This window comes from Homo sapiens, chromosome 5 (assembly GCF_000001405.40).
Source record: "Homo sapiens chromosome 5, GRCh38.p14 Primary Assembly".
NCBI lineage: Eukaryota > Metazoa > Chordata > Mammalia > Primates > Hominidae > Homo > Homo sapiens.
The window spans coordinates 70,658,964-70,686,219 of record NC_000005.10 but is presented as its reverse complement, the minus strand read 5'-3'; the positions used below and the strand labels follow the sequence as shown (position 1 = coordinate 70,686,219).

Sequence of the window (27,256 nt, the reverse complement as noted above, 5' to 3'; positions counted from 1 at the left end):
TGCACAAATAACCAAACCAAAAATTAAACCAAAAGAATACTCACCAGAAAGGATGTCCTTTACAAGAGCAGATCCCCCAAAATGTAAGAGTTCACTGAAAAGGTGGGAGCTCAAACCAAGAGAGGACTTATCTCGCAGCATAAAGACAACTTGTACAAGTGAAGATCACAATAGGCTCAGGTGAGTATCATACACAATTTCAAGTATCGCCAGATACTTGAAAGCCTTCCAAAGGCTTTCTTTGTTACTGTTTGGATAACAGTGCTGTAACTGTAAGTAACAAAGAAGGCTTGGAGCCTTTGCATCTTGCTTCTGACATTAGATTATGTCAACTTAAACAACAGAGATACTGACTCTCTAAAATAAAGAGTGGAGTGTATTCAGGAAATAGCAGTAAATTGCAATTTGAAATACACATGCTATGGTGGACCTTAGGCACCAAAGAAGCTGAGGGACTGTATTAGTTTGTTCTAGCACAAAGAACTACCTGAGACTTGGTAATTTATAAAGAAAAGAGGTTTAATTGACTCATGATTTCATAGGCTGTACAGGAAACATGATTGGAGGAGGCCTCAGGAAACTTACAATGATGGCAGAAGGCAAAAAGGAAGGAGGCACGTCTTACATGGCCGAAGCAGGGGGAAGAGGGCAAAGGGGAAATACCACACACTTTTCAACAAGCAGGTCTCATGAGAACTCACTATCACAAGAACAGCAAGGAGGAAATCCACCCCCATGATCCAATCGCCTCTCACCAAGCCCCTCCTCCAACATTGGGGATTACAATTCGACATGAGATTTGGGTGGGGACACAAATCTAAACCATATCAGGAAGGCAAAAATCTTAAAAGAGAAATTTTATGTAAGTTTTGTAATAAACCTCATGGGCCAGAGAAGCTTGTTACAAGAGCTGGCAAATACTCATTGATAATATTGGCTGTTGCTGGAGAGATGTCTTCATAGAATTATCATATCTAACATTTTCGTGGTTTTTGAGAGAACCATTGCAGCAGTTCTTATTATAGACATATGTACATGAAGGCCCCTCTTTCATGGCCTCCCAGCTTCATTTTTTTATGGTTTGATGTAAGTGACTCCATTTTGGTGCTCACAACTTCCACATTTCTCCCTTTTGGTTGAAATATTTTTCTGAAAGCATTTCACACTTAAAAGATATAGATTGGCCGGGCATGCTGGTTCATACCCATAATCCCAGCACGTTAGGAGGCGGAGGTGGGTGGATCACCTGAGGTTGGGAGTTCGAGACCAGCCTGACAAACATGGAGAAACCCCATTTCTACCAAAAATACAAAATTAGCTGGGCGTGGTGGCACGTGCCTGTAATCCCAGCTACTCAGGAGGCTGAGGCAGGAGAATCACTTGAATCCAAGAGGCAGAGGTTGCAGTGAGCTGAGATCACGCCATTGCACTCCAGCTTGGGCAACAAGAACGAAACTCCATCTCAAAAAACAAAAACAAAAACAAACCAACAAAAAATGAAATAATTGTAAAAACCAACCATAGTTCTCAGTAATGATAGTTTCATTTCCGTCAGCTATTAGTAGAGTTAATTAACTCCTATCAACCTCACATTTTCCATTTAAAAAATACAGGAGAAAAAGTTTGATGTGGGTTTAATGAGAAAACTTATATAAAATAGATCTAACTACTATATTTATCACAAAACAGATGCACAAACTATGTTTTTTTCCTCTCACTTGTTCTTATTTTATATATCATTTTAATTGAGGAAATCATTGAGCATAATGTAACAAATATTTTCATAAGTTATTATAAAGAGGGTTTGAAGGACTTGTTAGAAAGTGTCTGGCAGTGGAAAAAACATCTGAATAGAAAAAGAAAATAGCATGTGAATGCTGAAATAGCGTATTAAATAGCTGCAACTCTAATATAATTTACATTTGGATTTTAGTATAGACAGAATACTTAAATTTATTTCTGCAGTCTTTTCAGTTGTTAAACATTTTATTGAACTCTTCATGTGCCTTTCAGATGTATTGTGCTTCAAGTGTGCTTGTACCAGCTTTTTCTGTTTAGAAATGCTTGAGTGTCTCCATTGTCAAAACGATCAGAAGGCAGTAATTGTATTTCCAATGTGAGGACAAACAATACTAGATATCCTGCGATCCTACATTGTAAAAAATATTCCCATCAAATGCCCCAATGGATAGCCACGTAAGTGATCATCTGTAATTATTTAGTCAAGAAATGAATATTTTACATGTAAATACTTTGAATGGCTTAATACAAACTAAATTTTTCAGAATGCAACCACTACGGAAATTGAAGAGAAAAAGTCTTTTTATTGTAGAAACTTCCCAGAGTCTTTCAATATTTACAAAAATTATGTTGCCAATGGCAATACCTTAGTTATTTGAATCACCAGTAGAACACACTATAAAAACATGCATTGTCACATCTGTACCCTGTCACATCCAGGATAACGATAATATTGAGATATATAACTATTTAGCCCTTATTTTAAAACATCAGGTAACAAGCATCAATCAATTTCTATCAAATGTTTCAACTTGGGTATTACAGCATAAGCAGAAATATACTGTTACCAATATCCCAGCCAATTTCTTTTCCTAATGAAACAATAAAACTGAGAATATAGAGACCATTTAGTAAAGCTGATATATATATATGTTTGCATATGTGTGTGTGTGTGTGTGTGTGTGTATATACATATAAATGTAATTAATACAGTAGATGAGGTCAAAGAAGCAAGTGATACACAACTTTTAATTTGGATGGGATGTCCTTGAAGATTCCTGTATTAGTCCTTTCTCACATTCCTATATGAAAATACCTGAGACTGAGTAATTTATAAAAGAAAGAGGTTTAATTGACTCACAGTTCCCTATGACTGGGGAGGCCTCAGGAAACTTACAATCGTAGTGGAAGGTGAAAGGGAGGCAGGCACTTTCTTCACAAAATGGCAGGAAAAAGAAGGATGGGAGGAGGAACTTGCCGAACAGTTGTAAAACCATTAGATCTCGAGAGAACTCACTCACTGTCATGAGAACAGCTTGGGAGAAACCACCTCCATGATTCAATTACCTCCACCTGGTCTCTCCCTTGACATGTGGGGATTATGGGGTTTACAATTCACCATGAGATTTTGAGTGGGGACACAGCCAAACCATATCAACTCCTAAATCTTAATACACTTTATTACTAGCTGATATGATTTGGATCTGTGTCCCTTACCAAATCTCATGCCGAATTGTAATCCCCAGTGTTGGAGGTGGGGTCTTGTGGGAGGTGACTGGATCATGGGGGCAGATTTCCCCCTTTGATGCTGTATCATGATAGCGTCCTCATGAGATATGGTTGGTGAAAGTGTGTGGCACCTTTTCTCTTCCTCTCAGTCCTGCTTCTGCCTCGCAAGATTCGTGCTTCCACTTTGCCTTCTGCCATGAGTAAAATCTCCCTTTAGCCTCCCCAGAAGCAGATGCTGCTATGCTTCCTGTTCAGCCTGCAGAACTGCGAGCCAATTAAACTTCTTTGCTTTATAAATTACCCCATCTCAAGTGTTTCTTTATAGCAGCAGTGTGAGAACAAGCTAATACACTAGCCTTCTTGAATACATCTTAGCAAGCTCTCGAGCAGCGTAACGACATAGATTAGAGAAGGCCAAAACTGACAGATTCCCATCTTGACCAAAGTTTAATCATTCTTCTCCAGTCCCTCTTCTCAGGCCCAGTTTAACAAAGACGCCTGCTAAGCCAGTTCACTGAGAATCACTTCGCCCTGGATATCTTATCACTTTGGCATGCCTTTAGCAATAATGCAGTTTAGCAAGAACCCCGCTCCCCGCCACCCCACCCCCCGCCACCCTTAATATCTAATTAGTTTCTATCCACTGACTCACTCCCTCAGCTCTTTGCTTATAAATTTCCAGCTCCATGCTGGGAGAAATTTTAGTTCAATCTCTCTCTACTATAGCTATATTATTCCCCCATTGCTATAGTCCTGAATAGTCTTCCTTGCTATTTTTAACAAGCAACCAGTGTACACGTTTCCTTTTGACAAAACATAGTGTCCATATGTAGAGGGAAGAGGAAAGCTAACAAAATATAAAGTCATCCAAACCACACACACCTTGGACAAGCTTATCATGTGTGGGAATAAAATGCTGGAGGTGGGTTTGGCTTCCCAAAAAAAAAAAGTGTGTAGTTTGAAATTTCATATCAAGAACAGTTAAATTCCCAGATTCTTTATCATTACTGAATACCTTAGTAATTATTCTTCATTTAACACAACAGGAAATAGGAGATTTATTTTCTGGAGAGACTTGTCCAATTAAAGTGGGGATATGGTTGCTCCGTTGAGCAGAAATTTGGCTTATATAGACCCAAAGCTCAGAAAAAGAGTTATAGATCTAAAATGACAATCATTGAGACAATAAAGTCCATGGAAACCACGATGGGAAGCATCTACGTGGAAATAAAAAGTTGGATTTTCAGTAGAGAAATTGGTAACAATGTAAATTTCCTCTTAATGTCAGGTGAGAACTAATTCTGAAGTCAGAGGAGGAAAGTAGCCTACAACAAAGAGTAAGATCATCTTGACAGGATCAGGGAGAAAGATAATAGTTGCAAATGGAGACAGGTATATTGATTTAGTGCCAGGTAGTTGAAAGACTACGAGTATAAAGACTTATATTTTCTCTGTGTTGCAGTAGCAAAGTCATCTGCAGAGAGAGAGAAGTGAGAAGGGAGAAGAGAGTGTCAGAAATTAGAGGATTGTAGAGATTGAAAAAGTTATGTCAGGCACAATTGAAAACCCGGTTTCCAATGGTGATCATTGTCTTAAAATATTATCAGTTTGTTTTCTTGCATGGCATTCTTCAGCAGCAGTCATGGACTGAGAAATATGCAGAAATCAGATAGTTGAGTTCATCTAGAGAAGAGGTTGCAATGTGCTTCTAAAAAGGACAAAACCAAAAGCAACCGAGGGGGAGAGAGAGAGAGGGAGAAAGAGAGAGAGAAAAATGAAGATGTGAAAGGGGATAGGTCAAAACTCATTAATTTTTTTTAAGCAAAGGGCCAGATAGTAAATATTTTTATTTTGTGAGCCATATTGTCTCTGTAGGAAGTACTCAGTTCTCCCATGTTCTGCAAAAGCAACCATGGACAATAAGAAAATGTGGCTGCGTTCCAATAAGAATTTATTTAAAAAATAGGTGATGGATTGTATTTAGCCCAAGGGAAGCAGTATGTCAATTCTGGTTTTATGTTACTGGCAATTACATTTTAAAATATTCAGTAATTGAATCTACAATATCGATTCCCAACTATTGCTGCATATTAGTATCATAATAGAATGCCAGGTCCCAGAGACACTGGGTCAGCCAATCTCAATTGGGGCCAAGGCACTCATATGTATCTTTGGAACCTCCTCAGGCAATTCTAACATAAAGCCAGTGTTGAGAAGAGCCATTGTTAGTTTGCTTGTGGGAGTAACTGACCGCAGGAGGATCATAATGCTATAGGCAAAGGCTGAGGCACCAGTGGATTGAAAGTCCTAGTGAGGCAGGAGAACAGCTGCAGTGGGAATTGTTGCCACACTGAACAGACAGGAGATTGATCAAAGAGTGGTGTGCTTATTTAGTCATTTAAGAGGAATATCATGTTTTGTCATTATACATTTCATGGGTTTGGTAAGCAGCCTCTAAAATTGCTCCATGTCACTTGTACCCCTGGTAGAGGTAACTCCTTGAGGAATCTTCTACTCTGTTGTCCTAGTTGAATTTATCTCACTTCACTATCAAATAGACTGTGGCAGAAGTGATGGATATCACTTCCAACATTAGATTGCACAAAGACTGTGGCTTCTGTCTTGGGAATCCTCTCTCTCTCTTTCATTGTAAGGGAAGCTGACTTCTATGTTGGGCGCTGCCTATTAAGAAGTCCACATAGCACGGAGCCAGTGTCACCAGTCACAGCCAGCAAGGAAGGACCTGGGGACTGCCCCCAGCCACATGATTAATCTTAGAAGTGAATCTTCCCTAAGTAAGGCTTTTAAATGATGGCAGCCTTATGAGAGTCCTTGAGCTAGAGGGCCTTACTAATTCTGATATAGTTCTTGACCCAGAGAAGTTGGCATAATGAATGTTTGTTGTTTTAATCCACTAAGTTTTGGAGGTAATATGTTAAGCATCAACAGATAACTAATAAAAGGAGTGATTCTGAGCAAGAAAGGCTTAAGTGGAGGGAAGCTAAGGTCGAATAGTTTATGAATATCATCCTGTAAGAATACAGGGCTTGGAGCTTTGAAGGTGGGAGCAGAAAAAAATTTATGTAAGCTTGTCATTAACAATATGACTAAAAAAGTTCATTATACTGAAGGATAAATGCTTACATGTGCCTCAGAGAATAGATGTTTTTATTCCCGGGAAGAAAGATAAACTTTTTCAAAAAACATAAAGATTAAGTAGGATGCAGTTTCCAGCTTTGGATTCTGACATTCAGGACATGGGGAGGGTGATGAGCTTCTCCTGGAGGACTGAATTTAGGACACAATCAAGTTCATGATGGAAGCCCTTATGAGGTAGAGAGGGAGTGCATCTCAGCTCTTTCGATTAATTAAATGATTGCTTGAATTGGAGAAGGTGTGGGTATTTTGTGTTGTTTGGGTGAGTACATTGGAATGGTTTTCTAGCATTCCTTTGAGATTTTCCACAGTATAAGTTAAGGTAAAAGAACATTTTTACTTGTTTCAGAAAGCATACTGAGGAAGCTTTAATGTTACTATTAAGTAGGTAGGGAAATGACCAATATTATAAACGCAGATTTCCAGCCTCTCCTTTTAATGCTTTCAGAATGATTCCACAAGAACCTTGAAAATGTTGAGTATTTATATTTATTTTATGCCCTTTTATTGTGATTTTTTTAATAAATAACATTTTTTTGGTAAATACTGGAAGTTAATATTCTATAGTTCAGAAAAGCAATTTTGAACACTCAACTAGTGAGCCCATATAAAACTACATAACAGCACAGAATATAGTAAAATAATAATATAATGAACTGGGAGACAAACTAGGCACTGTGTGCCAAGTTTTTCAAGGAAGATACAATTTCAATACCAATGAAATAAACTCCCACAAATTGATTTTTCTTTGTGTGCACTCATCAGTGTAAATACAATTAAGTAATAAAGCCTGTACTTGTTCAGGAAAGATGTTTTCTATTCATAGTCTGATATCTGGGTGCTTTGGTTTCTGATAATTTGTTATGTAAAAACCCTGCAAATTAAAAAAAAAAAAATCAGCAGCTCCAAGTTCATGGGCCCTTATCACAGAGGATTTAAAACCTGTGCATTTTCTTTAAACTGAGAATATTATTACATTTTTTAATCCAGTGATGAGACCATAATAGTTTTCTGAAATAATTCAGAATAATTATATACCTAAAAGTTAATTTGCATGTGCTGTAATTTAAATAAAAGGACAGTTAATTTTTGCATTACAAAACATGAAAAATAAAATCAAACGTTGCATCTTTACTTTTATTACATAAATTCCTTTACATTGTAGTGCCCCCTAGCACCACGCAAGTTTATAAACTGCTTTCAATATTAATTATGTTATTATAATAATAACTAATTTAAGAATGTATTATTAAAGTCAGTAATTTAATAATAATAATTTCAATAATATATGTGTCACAAAAATACCTGAAATTACAATTAGTATGTCCGGTTTACTGATGGGAATACTGTGGCTCAAAAACATCATCTCAGGCAGGGTGTGGTGGCTAACTCATGTAATCCCAGCACTTTGGGGGTCCAAAGCAGGTGGATCGCCTGAGATCAGGAGTTTGAGACCAGCCTGGCCAACATGGTGAAACCTCATCTCTACTAAAGTACAAAACCGGTCCGGCATGGTGGTGCACACCTGTAATCCCAGCTACTCGGGGGGCTGAGGCAGGAGAATCACTTGAACCCATGAGGAGGAGGTTGCAGTGAGCCAAGATCACACCACTGCCCTCTAGTCTGGGTGACAGAGCGAGAGTCCTTCTCAAAAAAAAAAAAAAAAATCATCTCACCCAAATCATGTAGCTACAAAGTTATGGTTTAGAATAATTCAACTATTTTACTGAAATCAAAACTTTTACTATTAACCAATCAGTTACACTCAGCTTTGTGTAACTGAATACCAAATAACATCATGTTCCAGTAATTTTCATTTGAGTGAGAAGGGAGCACACTGGTACCCTGGACACACCCAGATACACTAAATCAGAACCTCTAAAACTTGGTGACTGTAAAAATAATTTTATTCTGAGTCTGAAACATATGCTCCGTGTTTCTTAGCAAGTTTCTGCAGCACAGGAGTCAGGTGAGGGAAGGTAGCGCCCCACTCCTGGTTATGGAAGGCAGAGGGTGAGTTCTGCTGCACATATGAAGCTATGGAGAGAGCAAGACTGCATAGGAGCAGGGTACAGTCTCTGGATATAGAAGACAGATAAACCTGGGTTATAGTTGACCCAGTGGAAAATTATAGGCCAAGAATAAGTTTCCAGATACCTTAATAGAACTGGGCATTTGATAAATTTTGAAAGTTCTCTGATAACTCGTATGTGCAGTGTAGGCTAAGAACTCACGGAAACAATATAGACATTTTTTGCCTCTCAGGGATATGCAGACACCCCAGTTCAGATATGATGTCTTCATGATCATCAGAAATCCAGATGGCTATTATCTTGTTGCTTTGCACCTCCAAGTACTGCTGCTTCTCATGTTGCCCCATGGCTGCCCCAGATCTAGCCATCAGAGCTGCCTTTCCAAGAAGGAAGAAAGCACAGAGATAGGACATGCCCCCTGCATGTAAGTCAGCTTCTCAGAAGTTACACGCGTTACTTCCCCTTACACAACATAGGTCAGAAATTGGTCACATGTGTCATGCCCTATGTTAAGAAAAGATTGGGAATATAGCATTTATTCCTGGTGATCATGTGTCCGGCTAAGCATTAGAGGACATTTTTACTGATGGCGAAAGGGTCAATGGAGATTGCAGTGAACCAGCCATCTCTGTCCAATAGGCACTTTATTTGGTGACGATAATTATAGGAAAGGTAGCACCAGACAGTTTTAATTCATTGAAGTTATTTTGGGTTTTTCTTGTTAATTTGTTTGTTTGCTTATTTGTTTTATCCTTCAGAGAAATGCTAGAAATTTAGTAATTAAATTAAATATTTCATTGAACACAAAAGCATAACATTATGGAAAAGAGTAACTGTTGTTTGGTTTTATTTATATATGTTAGTGTTTATACTGACTAATCTCACCAATGGAGACAGACAATTTCTAAGATTTATTATAGGCATTGTGTTTGGATCTTTCTTTCAGAAAAGTAAAAATCAGCTTAACCCAAAAATTATTTTAATAATAATTGGCATATCCAGCTTCATCCATGTCCCTACAGCGGACATGAACTCATACATTTTTATGTCTGCATAGTATTCCCATGGTGTATATGTGCCACATTTTCTTAATCCAGTCTATCATGGATGGACATTTGGGTTGGTTCCAAGTCTTTGCTATTGTGAATAGTGCCGCAATAAACATATGTGTGCATGTGTCTTTATAGCAGCATGATTTATAATCCTTTGGGTATATATCCAGTAATGGGATGGCTGGGTCAAATGGTTTTTCCAGTTCTAGAAGCTGGAAACCATCATTCTGAGCAAACTATCGCAAGGACAGAAAACCAAACACCGCATATCCTCACTCATAGGTGCAAATTGAACAATGAGAACACCTGGACACAGGGTGGGGAACACGACACACCAGAGCCTGTCGTGGGGTGGGAGGAGGGGGCAGGGATAGCATTAGGAGATGTGCCTAATGTAAATGACGAGTTAATGGCTGCAGCACACCAACATGGCACATGTATACATATGTAACAAACCTGCACATTGTGCACATGTACCCTAGAACTTAAAGTATAATAAAAATAAATAATAATTGGCATATCCAGAACCCTTTGCTGTCTTCTGCTACATTTGCACAAATTCACAGCTATTTGAATACCAGTCATTGTCAATCCTGGTCCTCTTTGAAAATACTGTTCCTTAGTTTTGCTCTCTGCCTAATTTACTTGGATTGAGGGGAAACCCAGGAATCAGTTGATTTGAGTACGTAGCCAATGTTGTAAAGAACTAATTGCTTTAACTTCTAATAGAAAAATATCACTATTTTTTTTAAAAAGTTACATAATTCATGTGTAGGAACATAATCCTTTTAGCCTAGAAGTAAAAAATGATATAGTCTTGCCCTATAGCACTGATCATGGCCATATATAATTTATAATAACCAAAATAATGACAATATTTTGGTACAGCATGCTCTATTAATTTGAATGCTCACGAGTTAACACATAATTCAATGTGATATGTATTAGGTTATAGAAAACCATGAGGTAAAAATCATAGGCTGCATTGAACTTTCTACTTCCCCAACTTTGCCTCATTATAGGGAGGGATGCAGCCCTAGAGTTCAAGAATTCCATAAAGACCAACCTGAAATTCTGGTGCCTGGCATCTTGTCACACCTTCTTCCAATACACAAACATCAAGGAGTGTAGAAGTTGAACATGGTCTGTTGTCACTGCCTCAAAGAATCCACTTCTAGCTTGTTCACACTAGGGTGTGAACATTTAAAGAGGGTAGGGAAGAACCACCTGGGTGGATTTTCACTGGGGATCTTATAATAAACTCTCAAAATCCCAGATTGAGACAAGGGAAGGGATGCTCAGTCGTATGTAATTAGGAAAAAGAGAGGGATTTTGAACCCACCCCTGCATCATCTAAGTCAAATAGAGCCAGTGTAACTGTTGGGACCGTTGCAGGTAGGGTGTGCTAGGTACCAAGCCGCAGTTAGGTAACCAATGACTTTTACAAGCTTATTTTCATCTCAGTACACCACATGCTTCATGTGCCACGTGCATGTATGTAAGTTACACATCTAAGATTATATTATTGGGTTACACTACCATGAATTATCTAAGGAAAACAGAATGATCATCATTGTGTGTGCAAAGACGACTTCTGAAATTAATACCAACAAGAGATTTCTTCTTTGCATATTTTCAAGCAGAAAGTGGACTAAATTATATCATTGGAGCATGACGTCTCAAAAAATATTTATTGCCAAATAATTCTTTACTGCTAAAAATTATTTATTGCATGAAATAGAAAAGATCTGAGACTGAAACTTCCATTTAAAAACATGATTTAAAAAAATAGAGTAATTACATAACAATTATGAAACTCAGATGCCAGAGTCAGAAATCAAGAAATTAACTATGTCAAGCAATTACAATATGATTACAAAGGCCCTTATATATTCATACAAGCTTTTTGCATTTTTTGAGCTAATTTTATGAAAAACATCAAAAGCCAGAAAACTAATGCTTAATGTATATTTTAAGGCCAAGAACAATATAGAAAAATTAATTTTCTCCTTAAAGTTTTTTAAGATATTTAAAGTAAACATTTTAAAAATTATTTAATCTGTGACCCAATTTGAATCACTTTGCTCTTCAGATTCCGATGTCTCCACAAAAATTCCGATGTCTCCTTGAAATTAGCTGATACATTATAAGAAATGAATGACTGTCCTGTCCTATTTGGGATACACATAAAAGTTACCCCAAAGGTTTAATTAGATAGTGAAGTACAAAAATACAGATTTGTAAAATATTACATATATAAACAATATAAATCTCTATTTTGACAAGTGACTTGATAAACTAGGTTAAATAATTGTTAATAGAGTTGAGTAAAGGCAGTGATGTTGGTAAACTAGTGATCCAAATGAAAAGAAAGTCGGCTGGGCACGGTGGCTCACGCCTGTAATCCCAGCACTTTGGGAGGCCAAGGCGGGTGGATCACAAGGTCAGGAGTTCGAGACCAGCCCGGCCAATATTGTGAAACCCCGTCTCTAATAAAAAATACACAAATTAGCCCAGCGTGGTGGCATGGTGCCTGTAGTCACAGCTACTCAGGAGGCTGAGGCAGGAGAATCGCTTGAACCAGGGAGGTGGAGGTTGCAGCGAGCTGAGACCACACCACTGCACTCCAGACTGGGCAACAGAGTGAGACGCCATCTCAAAAAAAAAAAAAAAAAAACCAGAAAAAAAGAAAGTTTTGATACATGGTGTATGCTGCATGTATGTAAGTTACACTCAAAGAGTAAGTCCTCCCACCATAGCTGTTTTCAAGTTATTACCATTTCAAGATACTAACTCCTGTGAATAGGAGGGTGAAGTCTTTAAATTACAGGAAATTGCAATAAAAGCCTGAGGCAAAGATATTTCAAGGGTTTTGGTTAAACAAAAGACACATTGGCTGGCATGAACAAGAGGAATCCACTATTGAAACCATCTTAGTCAATGGCAGGAAGACAGTGTTATGAGTCTACTGGTTACAGAAAATCTTTGTTTTAAAAACTCAGGTTTATCGAATTAAAATTTATATATGCCAAAAGTCATCTTTTTAAGTATGCAGTGTGTTGAAAACATAGATGGTTATATAACAAATACCATCCTCAAGATATAGAACAGTAACATCACCTAGAAAAATTCCCTTTTGTGCCTTTTGAATCAGTATTTCTGCTGCCCTCAGTCTTTGGAAATCGCTGTTCTTTGTCCCTATGGTTTTATATTTTCTAGAATGTCATACACAAGGGAGCAAACAGCATCCTGAATAGGCCTTTAAATCTGGCTTTTAAAATAGCATAATAAATCTGAGACACATTCATGTTGTTATGTTATCAGATTTGTTTCTTTTTCTTCCTAATGTGATATTAAATAGATACAGTATATAACTTTTTGACTATTCACCAGTTTTTGAAATTATGAATCATATGGTTAAAGTCACCAACAGATATACATATGTATATTACATATATGTATAATAATGTATGTATATATAATATATGTATATATATATATGTATATATACATATATGTATATAGTATACATATAAATCAGTGGATTCTTCAATTTTTTTATTGTCAAAATGATTTTTCCATTATAATTCCTTTGCTTCTCTGTTGAAAGTTTTAGAATGAGCTTGTTTGTTAGTTGCAAATATCCTGTTAGGAATTTTAACTGGATTGAATTTTTGTATTGAATTTTTTGTTTGGTTTGAACAGAATTAATTTATTGTCAATATTGGCTACCAAGCTCTTTACTTATTTACTTCTTCTTTGATTTCTTTTACCAGTGTTTTTTTAGTTTTTGTTACCCTTTCTCCATGTTTTTTTAGATTAAGAATTTAATGTTTCTTGTGCTACTTTAAATGTAACTTTAAAAAATTCTAATTTCCAATTGTTCATTAATAGTGTTGTAAAGTAGCGGGTCCCCCACCAGGGAATTTAAGGGCATATGTTGACTGCTTGAGTCCTGAAGGCTAGATGGTGAGCAAAGTTCATGGTGCTCAGCCGAGGAGCAGATGTCCCTGAAAACCAAAACATCCGGGAGCATATCTAGGTACATACCAAGAAGAACAGTTTCATCACATGTAGTAAGCAAAGAGCCAGAAAAGTAGCTTTGGCCGGGCGCGGTGGCTCATGCCTGTAATCCCAGCACTTTGAGAGGCCAAGGCGGGCGGATCACGAGGTCAGGAAATCAAGACCATCCTGGCTAACGTGGTGAAACCCCGTCTCTACTAAAAATACAAAAGATTAGCCGGGCGTGGTGGAAGGCGCCTATAGTCCCAGCTACTCGGGAGGCTGAGGCAGGAGAATGGCGTGAACCTGGGAGGCGGAGCTTGCAGTGAGCCGAGATCCCGCCACTGCACTGCAGCCTGGGCGACAGAGCGAGACTCCGTCAAAGAAAAGAAAAGAAAAGAAGAAAAGAAAAAAAAGAAAAGAAAAGAAAAGAAAAGAAAAGAAAAGAAAAGAAAAGAAAAGAAAAGAAAAGAAAAGAAAAGAAAAGAAAAGAAAAGAAAAGAAAAGTAGCTTAAAAGCAGCTTAGAGGAAGATGGTGGGCAGCAGGCGGATCTCTGGAGTTATCCCGCTGCCCTTTACGTAAGTCCTAATAAACTCGTCTTCTCATGAAGCTGGACTTGTCTGAGTCCTTCTTTGTTATTTCAGCACTATCTCTTTGGCAGAGGGATGTTCTTCTACACAGGTCTGGGTTTTTCCTGCAACAATTATATATAAAAAATAATTCTGTATATTAACATTATAGTGTTATAGTGCATAGTGTGAAATTACAAAACTCACAATTTATTTCTAGTAGCTTCACTTTTAATAATTTTAATTATTTTGTACTCACAATTTATTTCTAGCAGCTTCACTGCTAATAATTTTAATTATTTTGTACATAATGGAATACTGTGCATAGACCATCCACGAATCAAATAGAGTTTTATTTCTTCGTATCCAATTTGTATGCCTTTTGTTTATTTTTCTTACTTTAGTACACTGGTTAAAATTTGCAGTATACAGTTAAATAGTTCTTGAGGACAGGTTTCCTGTACTTCTTTTCTTCGTGCCTGTGTATAACGTATATTTAACTATATAATACATACAACACAACTATGTTTGTCTTCATATAATTTTTTACCTTTTTTTTAGTTTGTTTACGTAGCCCCTATATCTCTAGAAATGTTTCTTGGATTTACGATTTGATTGCCTTCACTTCTTTTGGAAAATTCTCATTCATTTTGTTTTTAAGTATTTATCATCCTTGTTCTCTTTCATGAATCCGTTCAAGTTAGGCATCCAGAGCTGTCCTTCAGCTCTTGGATGCCATGTTCTGCTATTTATCACTCTTCTTGTTTCTTACTTGTATTTGTTATTCAATTTCTATGTTTTTTATCTTCAACTTTACTGTTCCATTCTTTATTCATATCAAGTCTTCTGATGAATTACTTCATTGGTGTTTGCATTTTGAGGTAGATACAACAGTATATCTATTGAGACATTAATTAGTGCAATTAAACCGAAGTTTAACACATTTTAAGTAAAAATTTATCCCACTATCGCATAAAACTTGTGAAAGTTAAAGTCATCAGCACTTAATATTGTCTGTCATGCGAGGCAATCGGCACTCAAGTGGCAAATGCACTCATTTAACTCTAAATTGGTACTTTAGTTAATCTCTCATATTGATTTTTTAACCCTTAAACACTGGCAAAGAGAAGCATACACCTAAAGAGAGATTTTTTACATTATTGTTTATTTAGTTAGTTTTTAGAAACAAGGTCTCCTCTCTCTCCCAGGCTGGAGGGCTGTGGTGCAATCACAGCTCACTGCAGCCTCAAAATCCTGGGCCCAAGCATACCTCCCACCTCAGCCTCCCAAGTAGCTTGGATTACAAGTGCCTGCCTCAGTACCCGGCTACTTTTAAAACATTTTTTGATACACATAGAGTCTCAGTTTGCTGCTCAGGCTGGTCTCAAACTATTGGTCTCAAGCAATCCTCTTGCCTCAAGCTTCTAAAGTGCTGGGATTACAGGTTAACCAGGACACCTGGCCGAGAGGTTATTTTTTGTTGTTTTAATTTCTTTATTTAATAGTCTGTGTATTTAAATTTTGTTGACAATAATCTTAACAGCAACAATAGTATCTACTTGAAAGGTATGCATTCTATATATAATTCCTTAGATATAAATTTAAGTATAAATATTTGAAAACTCTTTAATTTTTTAATATTGTGTCCCATTTCTTAAAAAAGAGAGAAGCTATATTAACTTTTGAATTCAGTACACAGTTAACAGTTCTTTCATTTAATATGTGATAATATAAATTTAACAGTGAAACTTTCAAATACTCATATTAACTTACCCTGATAGATTTTATAGCTTTAATATAAAACTTCTCATAAATGTAAAATTTGACAAAGCACAATATTCTCCAGGAAGTTAGAAAAGTAATATAATTTTCTGTCTCTCAGAATGTGTTTTCTAACCTCTAAATATAAATTGATGGACTAATCTTTTAAAATTCAGAATCAAATATAATTGCTTTGGTTTGATCATTGAGAATTCTTTTTCCATTCCATCATTTTATAGTTTTTGCCTAAATAAAATACTTAAGGAAGTTATTGTTATGTTGTATTTGAAAGATGCCTGATGGAGAAACATTCATAGTTCTTTTCTATCCTTATGAAAGGTTATATGAAAACATATATATATGTATATATATAAACATGTGGATAAAGTACAGAAAATCCTATCATTGCCTCTGACTCAAATGGTAATCTTTAATATAAAGATTTGAAACTTTCATGGAACAGTATATCAGAACTTTATTTCCAATTTGTTTATGTATACTTAACGTATATCCTAAGTATCAAGAAATCACATTCAATTAACATATACATTATAAAACAATTCCTATATGATAATTCTAATAAGTAAACATGATTTTAGTGGTAGTAATTATTCAATCAAATATTCATATTTTAAAGATTAAATCTTCATATTTTAAAGCACATTACATCAGTTTACAATTCGATATTGACTACTGGATAGAATTTATCAATGAAATTTTGAATATGGCATGGTTAATGCAGATCATGTGAATTAAATTGCAAGGCAGAGAGCTTTTAAATTAAAAAAATAAGCTGGTTTATAAATCCAGTGCTAGACAGTTAATAAAAGCAATACATATAAATCTCCCAGACACCTCCCAATCTTGGTATTTTGAAATATTTTCCTCTTTTTAATATTATTTAAATAAAAAAATTATCTGCCTTTAAGCAACAAAACATGAACTCTTGGTAGAAAATTCACTAATTGACATAGGTATCTAGACTTATAAACCTGTAAAAAATGTGAAATAGAAGGCATAAAGTATTTGAGTCAATAAATTACTAACTAAATCTTTTTTTTTTTTTTTTTTTTTGAGACGGAGTCTCGCTCTGTCGCCCAGGCTGGACTGCAGTGGCGGGATCTCGGCTCACTGCAAGCTCCGCCTCCCGGGTTCACGCCATTCTCCTGCCTCAGCCTCCCAAGTAGCTGGGACTACAGGCGCCCGCCACTACGCCCGGCTAATTTTTTGTATTTTTAGTAGAGACGGGGTTTCACTGTTTTAGCCGGGATGGTCTCGATCTCCTGACCTCGTGATCCGCCCGCCTCGGCCTCCCAAAGTGCTGGGATTACAGGCGTGAGCCACCGCGCCCGGCCTTAACTAAATCTTTTGATTAAATCAGCTTTATAAAAAAAGTAAACGTAAACACATAAGTCTTTGTATAAGCACCCCTACATTTTTAAAAGTATATTTGCCTTTTCATAAACTCAGTTGAGTAGTGGTAACATTCATCATCACAACTTTTTAGAGGCAATGAAATTGATGTCATTTGAGGTCTTCATCTCATATTTATCTTTTATTTTCTTATTTTGTCATGTTTAGCAAAGGATAGTAAAAGTAGAGGATCATTCAACCCAGAAATACAGGGAAACTGATCCTTGTAAATAGCACCCTTTATAGACTCATGGATATTTTAAGAGCAAGATGTGCTAGAAAGGAAAATAAGGCAATCTCTTAATGCTGTGCCTTTTCTTCCATTACATTTTTAGATTATATATTATCCCTTGTTTATTTCTGTAGCTGGGGAAAATATTTTTATTGAAATAGATTGTTTTTTGAAGTTTGCTATATTAGGTAAAAATAAATACCAAACTTCTCTGTCTTCAGTTTAATAGAAAAAAAAAATCCCTTGTTACTCTGTTTCTGCCTTACTGTTAGTAGAAAGATTTATGATTAAGTAATTTTAGTAGGACAACATTAAGAACAAAAACATGAACCAAAATACTTTTTAAAATAAATATACACATTTTTACTATATATAGACACATATATAAAAGTATATATACATATATGTATATATGTGACTTCAATAACAGGAAAATAGATTTTCCAGATTAACAATCTAAACATCTCATCCATAACAAAAGGTTAGGCTCTATACCAATGCTTGAATGAAAACTGTAATATCATCCATTTAAAAAAATGCCAACACATGCATAATTTTAGGCTGTAAAAATGAAAATATTTCAGAATTGATTAACAAATGGTGGAAGTTAAAGTTGTCTCTTCCCGACCTGCACTTTGTTTTCTGTCTCTTGCCTTTTCTCACATTTTATTTTTCCTTCCTATCTCAACAATATACCCCACCTGCAGTGTGCCCAATGTGGACACATACCTGCTTTTTTCAGGCACTGTTTTGGACAACATTTCCCTACTGAGCATTAAATCACTTTTTCTTAAATACGTACTAAAGATTTCCATGGCTGAAAAGCTAGTTCCACATACATTAATAATCCTTGAAGAATTAAATCAGATACAACCTCTACATCAGCACAATATTTCAAGGTGGTAAGGGAGTGCTACTGCTGGGTTCGTCTTCACTTAATAACTTTATTAATGATGTGGATGAGTGAACAAATATGAAAAGAAAATTTATAGGTATTACATACGTAGATTCTGCAGAAACAAATAGGCTGGAAGGTAATGACTGTAGAATGACCTAGAGAGGTTAAAAAAAGAAAATAGTAGTCCAATATTATTCCACTTTTAAGTAAATGAGACCATTAAGCTCTTTAAAATAACCAGTAAATAAAAACTCAAAGCAATGATAGCTACATCAAAAAGTGAGGGAAGAGGGGAAATTATATGTTGCAATGTTACAGAGTACATTAAAGCATTCAGTATATTTCCTGAAAATTTCATAAGCACAGTTCTTAATGTTTATTCATAAATAAACAAAACCAAACCAAAAGCCATAGTTCATTTGTTTCTAACTAAGAGTACAAATTATTTATGCGGAAAAGTACATATAAGCTCACATAAATAACACGAATAATGTTTTCATTGTGAAGATATTCATAACGTTCAAATGACAAGGTCTTAGGAACTCTGCACCTTCATTAATTTTAATCAATATTTAACAATCAAGATTGTTTTCAATAAATCATGATCTAATAATGAAAGGGGGAAACTATTTGTTTTAACTTTCATTTCAGTTTTACCCTTTACTCACAAGTTGAAATTCATTCTCACTCTTTGCAAACTATTTTGAAACACTTCCAGGTAAAATTCATATAAATATTTTATTTTTCCTAATTTTTGGAAAAATTTTAGACTATTACAATCTGAGTTAATAGCCTAGTTCCTTTGTTGATCCAGTGTAAATAAATATTTCTCTTTTCTTGCTGTATTAAAAAACCCACAGTCTCTATAGCCAAGTCTATATCTATATCGATATCTATCTGTATCTGTATCTATCTATGTGTATCTCTATCGATGTATGCATACACAAATAATATCTGTGGAAGAATTTTTTTTCATGTAGTGTAATATCCACAGCTCTTCTACTTTAACCATAACTCAAGTTAATAACATTTTATTGTCTTTTGTTAGTTTTACCTGGAAAAGAAAGCACATCATATACAATATTATAAAATAGAAATAAAACTAAATATAGTGTTTTAGAAGGTAACAAAGTTTTATGTTTAAGGATATTAAATAAAATCTATTTCTTCCAGTATATTTTTTCACAATCTGTCTTAAATGGAATCTTCAGATATCTTAACAAGTTGACTACTAGATTTTGTAGTGTATTCCAATCAGATATCTATCTGAGGCCACTCTTTTTTTTAATAATCTAGGCTTCTGTAGACAATGTGGAAACATTTTTAAAATGATGACGCCCTCCTTTTCCTTCGTAGCTAAATTAGTACACAAAATTCTAAATATTTCCTTAGTTTTAATAATAATAAAGCAATATAAGATTCACCCTCTGTATTCAATTCTTTGTTACCAATTCTGCTATAATTAGAATTTTTGAAATTCTTAGTTATAACCTTTATTTTTGATAATTGCATTTAAAATGCAATAATAAAGCAAATAATTAAAATGCTAGGAATAAAATTGTCCTTTATTAGTTTATCATAAAGTTCCATAAATTTCAGCTCTCCTTGATTTCTCACTATTCTAGTTCATCAATTTTGTAATTAATCATTAAACATTATTCTTTCTCTATATTAAAAATATTAGCAATTAACAAATCCCTATTTAATATTATATTCATTGTTTTAGTTTGATGCTTTTTTTTTTTAGTGATATGTACAGAAGACAAAAAAATGATGTGCAGCCTTTGTGTTCCATTTATTGTTGCGTAAAATAAAATTTCATCAATCTTGGATAAAAATTCTTAGGCCTATGATTATATTTGAAGGAAACACTAACTTCTGACATGATTATTTAGAACACACATTTTCTTAACTTGTCTTCCATTTTAATGGAGCTATAAATAGCTTTGGCAAATTTTTCTGCTTTGCTGTTAATTTAACTCAGTAGATTTATTGAAATTTTAAGACACCACGTTACGCAAGATTTAGGGTATGTGACTACTCTTTCCTCCTGTGTGGAGGTCGACATTGCCACAGTCTAATATCATAGTTCCCCTAAGTGGTCCCCTCCCAGAAGTGAGTTGCAAGTTCCTGCTGACTTTCAGAATTATTTCTCCATGTTTATGTCATTTTGATGCAAGAGAGGTCAATACACAGGTATGTCATCAAAATAATATTTAGACTATGTCATTCCCACAAAAAACAACTTATATGCCATGTTTTACTCACTACCAAAGTCTTGTTGAATACTACTTGTTTCATTCCTCTAGCCAGGAGACAACCTGGCAGGTATACTGCCTGAGCACCAAGAAGTTATCATATAATTTGCGTTTCACTGACCTCTCTTACCTTGTCAAATTACCCACAATAATTTTGGTAAAGTTGCATCTAACTTGGTATGGACTAAAAATACTTGCGTCGCCCCCAAAATTTGTATGTTAAAACCCTAATTCCACTGAGATGATATTTGGAAACAGGGCCTTTGGGAAATAATTAGGTCATGAGTCTCTCTCTCTCTTTCTCTCTCTCTCTCTCTCTCTCTCTCTCTCTGTCTGGTCTCTCTCTCTGTCTCTTTATGAGGACATGACAAGGAATGGAGGTTTTACCTGTAACCATTGACTGGCACCTTTATCTTGGACTCTCAGCCTCCAGAACTCCGAGAAGTAAATTTCTATTGTTTAAACCAGTCAGTGTATGTTGTTTTTGTTGTTGTTATAGCAGCTTGAATTAAGACACAATTTTCCTAAAACTTAAAAATGTCAGATTGGTGGATAAAATTGTATTTCATTGTGCTTTTTTCTTCAAGCCTTATACCTCTGACTCCAAACTCATAGTAACCAGTGTAAGACATGGTAGAATCTTTCCACTAGTGCTTGGGACACTATTTATAGTATCTACCCAATCTAATTTTAATGAAAAAGTTGAAGGTTGGTATAAAAAAATGTTTATCATCTAGGAGTTCCAGGCTCAATTCAACATACTTGTGATGGTCTCATGTAGTAGCAGTGACAGTCAACTACAAATGGTGCCTGAACAGGGACATTTCAGAGACTATCAGGGACATACAGAGACCTGAAAGGACCTGGAGGGACCTGAAGAGGCCTGCAGGGATAAACAGAGATAAGTGGAGGTAAGTACAGAAAAGTAAGTAGAGATAAGTAAGTAGAGAAAAGTAGAGATAGGTAGGGAAAGACGGGGACTTGCAGGAACTAACAGGTACCATAGGGACAGACAGAGACAGATAGGAATAGATAAAGACTAGCAATATAAGGTCAGTGCCCTGAAGAGGTACTGGTCTGTGTCCTAAAGAGGTACAAAAGTAGAGACTAGCAAAGACTAGGAGAGATTTGGAGGAACAGACAGGGACAGATAGGGACAGATAGGGTCCTATAGGACTAGAGCGAGGAAGGTCTGCTGGAACAGAAAAAAACTAAAACCAACTAGATGAACGAGAAAGCCCATTACAACTCTGTTGGCAGCGACATAAGGTTAGTTCTCTAAAAAGGTACTGGTCAGTGCCCTAGAGGTACAAAGAATGGGAAGTTTTTAAAACAGGGAAACGAGGAAGAATTTGGCTATTTCTTTTCTCTTTTTTGTTTGTTTGGAGTTTTGGTATGTACCATCTTTTTGTTATTTAGAATTTTTTGCCCCACCTACAGTGCCTATCGAAAATGGTGAACAGAAGAGGGAGAATGAAAATTGCCTTGTATCGTCTTCTTTGGTGGCTACAGAAAGGCTAACTTTAGCTTTGGCTTTCATGGATTGTAAACGTGCACTGGCACCTGTGAGATGTGCAGAGGACTTGGGAGGCTTTCTCAGAGCTTGTCAAGATGTGGGAACTGAGCTTCATTGCTCTGCAGTATTGACTCAGGCAATAGCAAATTTGGTGGCTGACAGATCTAAAAGAAGCCAAGGGTCAAGCCCTAAAGTGGGAAAGTGTCATAAGTGTAGAAAACTTGGACGTTTCAAAAGAGAATGCCGTCAGACCTCTGTGAACAAGAGATCTTGTAACATAGTCCCCCTCTTAACAGAAAAAAAATGCCGGACTTTGCCCTCGATGCAATAAAGGAAATCATTGGGCTAATCAACACCACTCAAAATTTCATCAAAACGGCACCCCCCTGTTGGGAAGCAAGAAGGGGGCCTGGACCCGGGCACCTCAAACTATGAGGGCGTTCCCTGTCCAGGCCACAACTCCGTTTCAGGGGTGGGTTTCCAGAGGCACATGGATTCCCTCTCCCCAGGAACACCTGGAAACGCAGGATTAGATCTCCCAGAGAACCAATTACATTAAATGAAAGAAACAAACTCACTAAGATTCACATTGGTATTTGGGGATCTTTGCCAACAAGATACATGGGATTGATTTTGGTAAAAGCTGTCTTAACTTACAGGCCCAGGAGTTGTTGATTTTGATTGTGAAGGAGAAATTCAGGTAGTGGTAATGTCACAAGATCTTTGGGTTTTTGAACTGGGAGAATATGTTGCTCAATTTTCGCTTCTTCCCTGTAAATTGTACCCTTCTCCACATAAGAAGAAGCGAGGTGGTCAGGGATTTGGAAGTGCAACTAGGAGAGAGATTTATCTATCACCACCCATAGCATCTAGTGGACCCACCTGTACAGTGCAAATTGAAGGTTTAAGGACTGCTTTTTGCTATACTGTTTTACGAGAAGGATAAGCCTCGATTTGCTTTCTCTGTGCCGTGTGTTAATCAGAAAGAGCCTGCTTCTTGTTCTCAGTGGAAAGTTTTACCCCACGGCAATTAACCAAAGAGGCAGAAGCTGAGTTACAAATGTTTCAGCAATGGCGTGCCTCCCGGCTACAGCAAAAAAAATAAAAAATAAATAAAAAAGAAAACACTTTTGATTCTGTTTGGTAGATTTACTAACGTGGGGACGAGGGTATACTTACGTCTTTGCAGAAGATGAACAAACCGAGTGGGTGCTCCCAAGGTGTGTACGACCGTTGAACAGGAGACTGGAGGGACCCATGGATCCCAACCATGGACCTTGTTCCCCCGGTATGAACCATGAACCAGTTGAATCTGAATGCAAAGATGGAATGAGGACCACTAGAAGCAGGGAGCTCTCTTCTTCCCCATGCTAGCCTTTCCTTAAAACAGTTTCTTTTGTTTTTTGTTACCATTTCTATGTTCGTCTCTTCATTCAGTCTAGTAATGACGGTCTCAAGTAGTAACCGTGGCAGTCAGCCACACTTAAATCTTAATGCTTTTGAATTCTAGAAGGAACTCAAAAAGAGACAAACAAGTCAGTCATAGTAGTAATACATGGAGAATGAATTGTGAAATCTAAGAGACTGAATATCATGTCAAGCATAAGCTTTTTCAAAGCAATTAAACTGGGCTTTTAATGACATTACTTAGACTTTCCAGACAAAATGTGTAACAATACAGCTAATTTTAATAAAATGACTTTGAAATCCCCAAACTCAAATATAATCTCATGAAGTAATTGTTTGTGATAACACCTTAATATGTTTTATACCATCATTATGAAAAACAGTGCAAGAGAAAGGAGAAAAAATTCTTTATTGTGAGTTAAAAACTTTGAAACCTAAGTCAATCATTTTTATTGTTTCAAGAAATATTTCCCCACGGCTACTTTAGTAGCAAAATCAAAGTCAGGAGCCCAGGCTTCTGTAAACAAAGTTTAATTGTATCCCCTCCCCCTTTCTTCTCTGTCTCATAATTTTCTCAGTACTTTTTAAGGGGCGAGAGGCATCCCCATGAATGACGCTGTTATAGGTTCTAAGGCAGAGGATGTGATGATGATGATCTTTGGGAAACGGTGAGGTGAATGTTGTCCACGAAGCTGCTTTCTAGTAGGGTGTCTGTGGGAAACTATACCCTTTCTGTGGGGTCTTCTGAATGTAGCTAATACTATTTTTGTTTGGGCTGGAAGTTTTTTATTATTATTGTTTTTACACTTCAAGTTCTAGAGTACATGTGCATAACGTGCAGGTTTGTTACATATGTATATATGTGCCGTGTTGGTTTGCTGCACCCATTAACTCATCATTTACATTAGGTATTTCCTCTAATGCTATCCCTCCCCCATCCCTCCACCCTACGACAGGCCCCTGTGTGTGATGTTCCCCGCCCTGTGTCCAAGTGTTCTCATTGTTCAATTCCCACCTGTGAGTGAGAACATGCGGTGTTTGGTTTTCTGTCCTTGTGATATTTTGCTGAGAATGCTGGTTTCCAGCTTCATCCAAGTCACTACAAAGGACATGAGCTCATCCTTTTTTATGGCTGCATAGTATTCCGTGGTATATATGTGCCAGATTTTCTTAATCCAGGCTATCGTTGATGGACATTTGGGTTGGTTCCAAGTCTTTGCTATTGTGAATAGTGCCTCAATAAACATATATGTGCATGTGTCTTTATAGTAGCATGATTTATAATCCTTTGGGTATATACCCAGTAATGGGATGGCTGGGTCAAATGGTATTTCTAGTTCTAGATCCTTGAGGAATCGTCACACTGTCTTCCACAATGGTTGAACTAGTTTACACTCCCACCAACAGTGTAAAAGTGTTCCTCTTTCTCCACATCCTCTCCAGCACCTGTTGTTTCCTGACTTTTTAATGATCGCCATTCTAACTGGTGTGAGATGCTATCTCATTGTAGTTTTGATTTGCATTTCTCTGATGACCAGAGATGATGAGCACTGTTAAGTTCTATCCTCTCCATATGTCCATGGGGCTGTTGGAAATATTCTTTTTCTGGGCTTCATGCTGTGCCCAGAGCATTTCCTTTTTCCTTCTCCTTTTTAAGGCAAGGATGCATCTGTTTTCATAAGGTTTGTGATAAAACAACACTCAAGTTTTGCAAGTTACATGATTGTCATCATCATCGCACTAATTTTTTGTGAAATATGCATTTTAATTACTTCCAAGAGGGTTTATTTCTAATGAAAAAAATTAAACAATAAATAATTTTAGACTTACCCCATGCAAGAAATGACAAATTCACTGAAGCAAACATGTTTAGGCTACACTGTATACAATCTACAAATTGCCTGCTCAGTCTCAGTTTCTTGCATATATTTCTCATACATCTAAATGTTAATTTCCACACTTCTGTCTCTCTGAATCCCTGGCAAATGGCAATGGCTAGTGACTTTGCATTCACCTATCAGAAAAACATGAATCCGGACACACTTCCGGGAGCATGGGACGTGGTAGGAATTTACTGGATAATAGGAACTGATATGTTACTTTGAGAGTGCTAAAATTCTCCCAGTGAATGTAACTTTGCCTATATTTTATATAACTTATTGGTTTTGGTTTGATAATTAAAAATATCAAAATTATCCTGGGGCAGGAGCCAAGGATGGTATTATACAGTGAGAAGTGAGTCCCACATGTCAGTCTTGTCATTTTCTTCCTCAGATAAAGTGCAGAATTTTGTCATCAGTAATATGAAAGAGAGATTTTACAGAAAAATTGCCAATTTTTGTCCATGAAGATGAGGGCAATATGCTAAGTATCAACGGACTAAAAGATGGCATATATTTTTTAGTGGGACATCCATGCAAGACTGCATTTCTTACCTGTTGACTATTACAGTAAATAGAAAATAATTATTTTAATTAAGCGACTACAATTTAGGGCATTTGTTGTAGAAATTTACAAATGTTTCACATTGCTTGACTTCAGGGGGCGCCATTTTTACATCATCCATTTCTAATAGCATGGCCAAGAGTATACTCCAAGTAACAAATGAGGTATAGCATATGAGACAAAGTAGAAACACTTAAAGGGTTAAAGAAATTTTCACCCGTATCTCTATGATGCAAAGTAAAGCAAAAGACAAAGAAACAAGCAAAAAAGAACAAGTGGTCGCCAAGCTGGACTGCAGTGATAAAACCATGGCTCACTGCAAACTCCGCTTTCTGAGCTCAAGCAATCCTCCCACCTCAGCCTCATGAGTAGCTGGGACTACAGGTGCCCACCACCACTCCTGGCTAATTTTTGGGTTTTTAGTAGAGACAGATTTTTGCCACATTGGCCAGGTGGGTCCCAAACTCCTGAGCTCAAGCAATCCACCCACTTCGGCCTCCCAAAGTGTTGAGATTACAGGCATAAGCCACCACACCCGGCCGCTGCATTTTTTTTTAATGGGAAATAACAAGCATATTCATTACATATAAAATGATATATTTAGAAATTTTGTAGGCTTTATAAATTCTGTTGGATAATGGAAAATTTTTTATTGTATTTTTTGTGTATGAGAACATATGTTATAAAGTAAAATGTACATAGAGGGAAATGGGATTGTGAGGATAGTAACCATAGGTGAGGAGATGGATGAAAGAAAGGTCTTACACTGCTATAAGGAGCTGTTACTATATCTTCTTCATATTTTTATAAAACATATCTTATTAGAAGACTTAAGTTACTTATTTTTTTCTTATATGTATATATTCACCTCCATTTTGAAGGCTATTAGTCTGGGAAACCTACAAGAACATTGCCGTAGGGAAGCTCAAGTATGTTAACAACAACAAAAATAGTTCTGTGAATGCCTTTACATAATATAAGGTCTACATATTCTCTCTAGATCTGTGCGCCGTAAGACTGGATTTTGAAAAGCTGAGGCATAGACTGATAGCTCTTTACCACACTTGTTTTTTCTTCTTTCTGGATACATAGCTTGGCTATATTTCCATGCAACTGTGTCCCGGTTAATGTGTACCACTTTTAGAGGGTGGTACATATAAATGTTTCTTCCAGTTCTTTCAACATGTGTCATTTGAAAAAGGAGAACTCTGAAGCCCTCTAGGAAGTTGGAGCTACAATACTGGAGGCCAGTTTCCTGAATTAC

At 36.4% G+C, this 27,256-nt stretch overlaps 1 long non-coding RNA gene across 5 annotated transcripts in view; it reads left to right on the top strand.

Moving 5' to 3' along the window:
• LOC107986355 (uncharacterized) overlaps positions 1-27,256 on the top strand; it is a 102,717-nt gene that overhangs the window by 33,307 nt on the left and 42,154 nt on the right. The window lies entirely within an intron of this gene.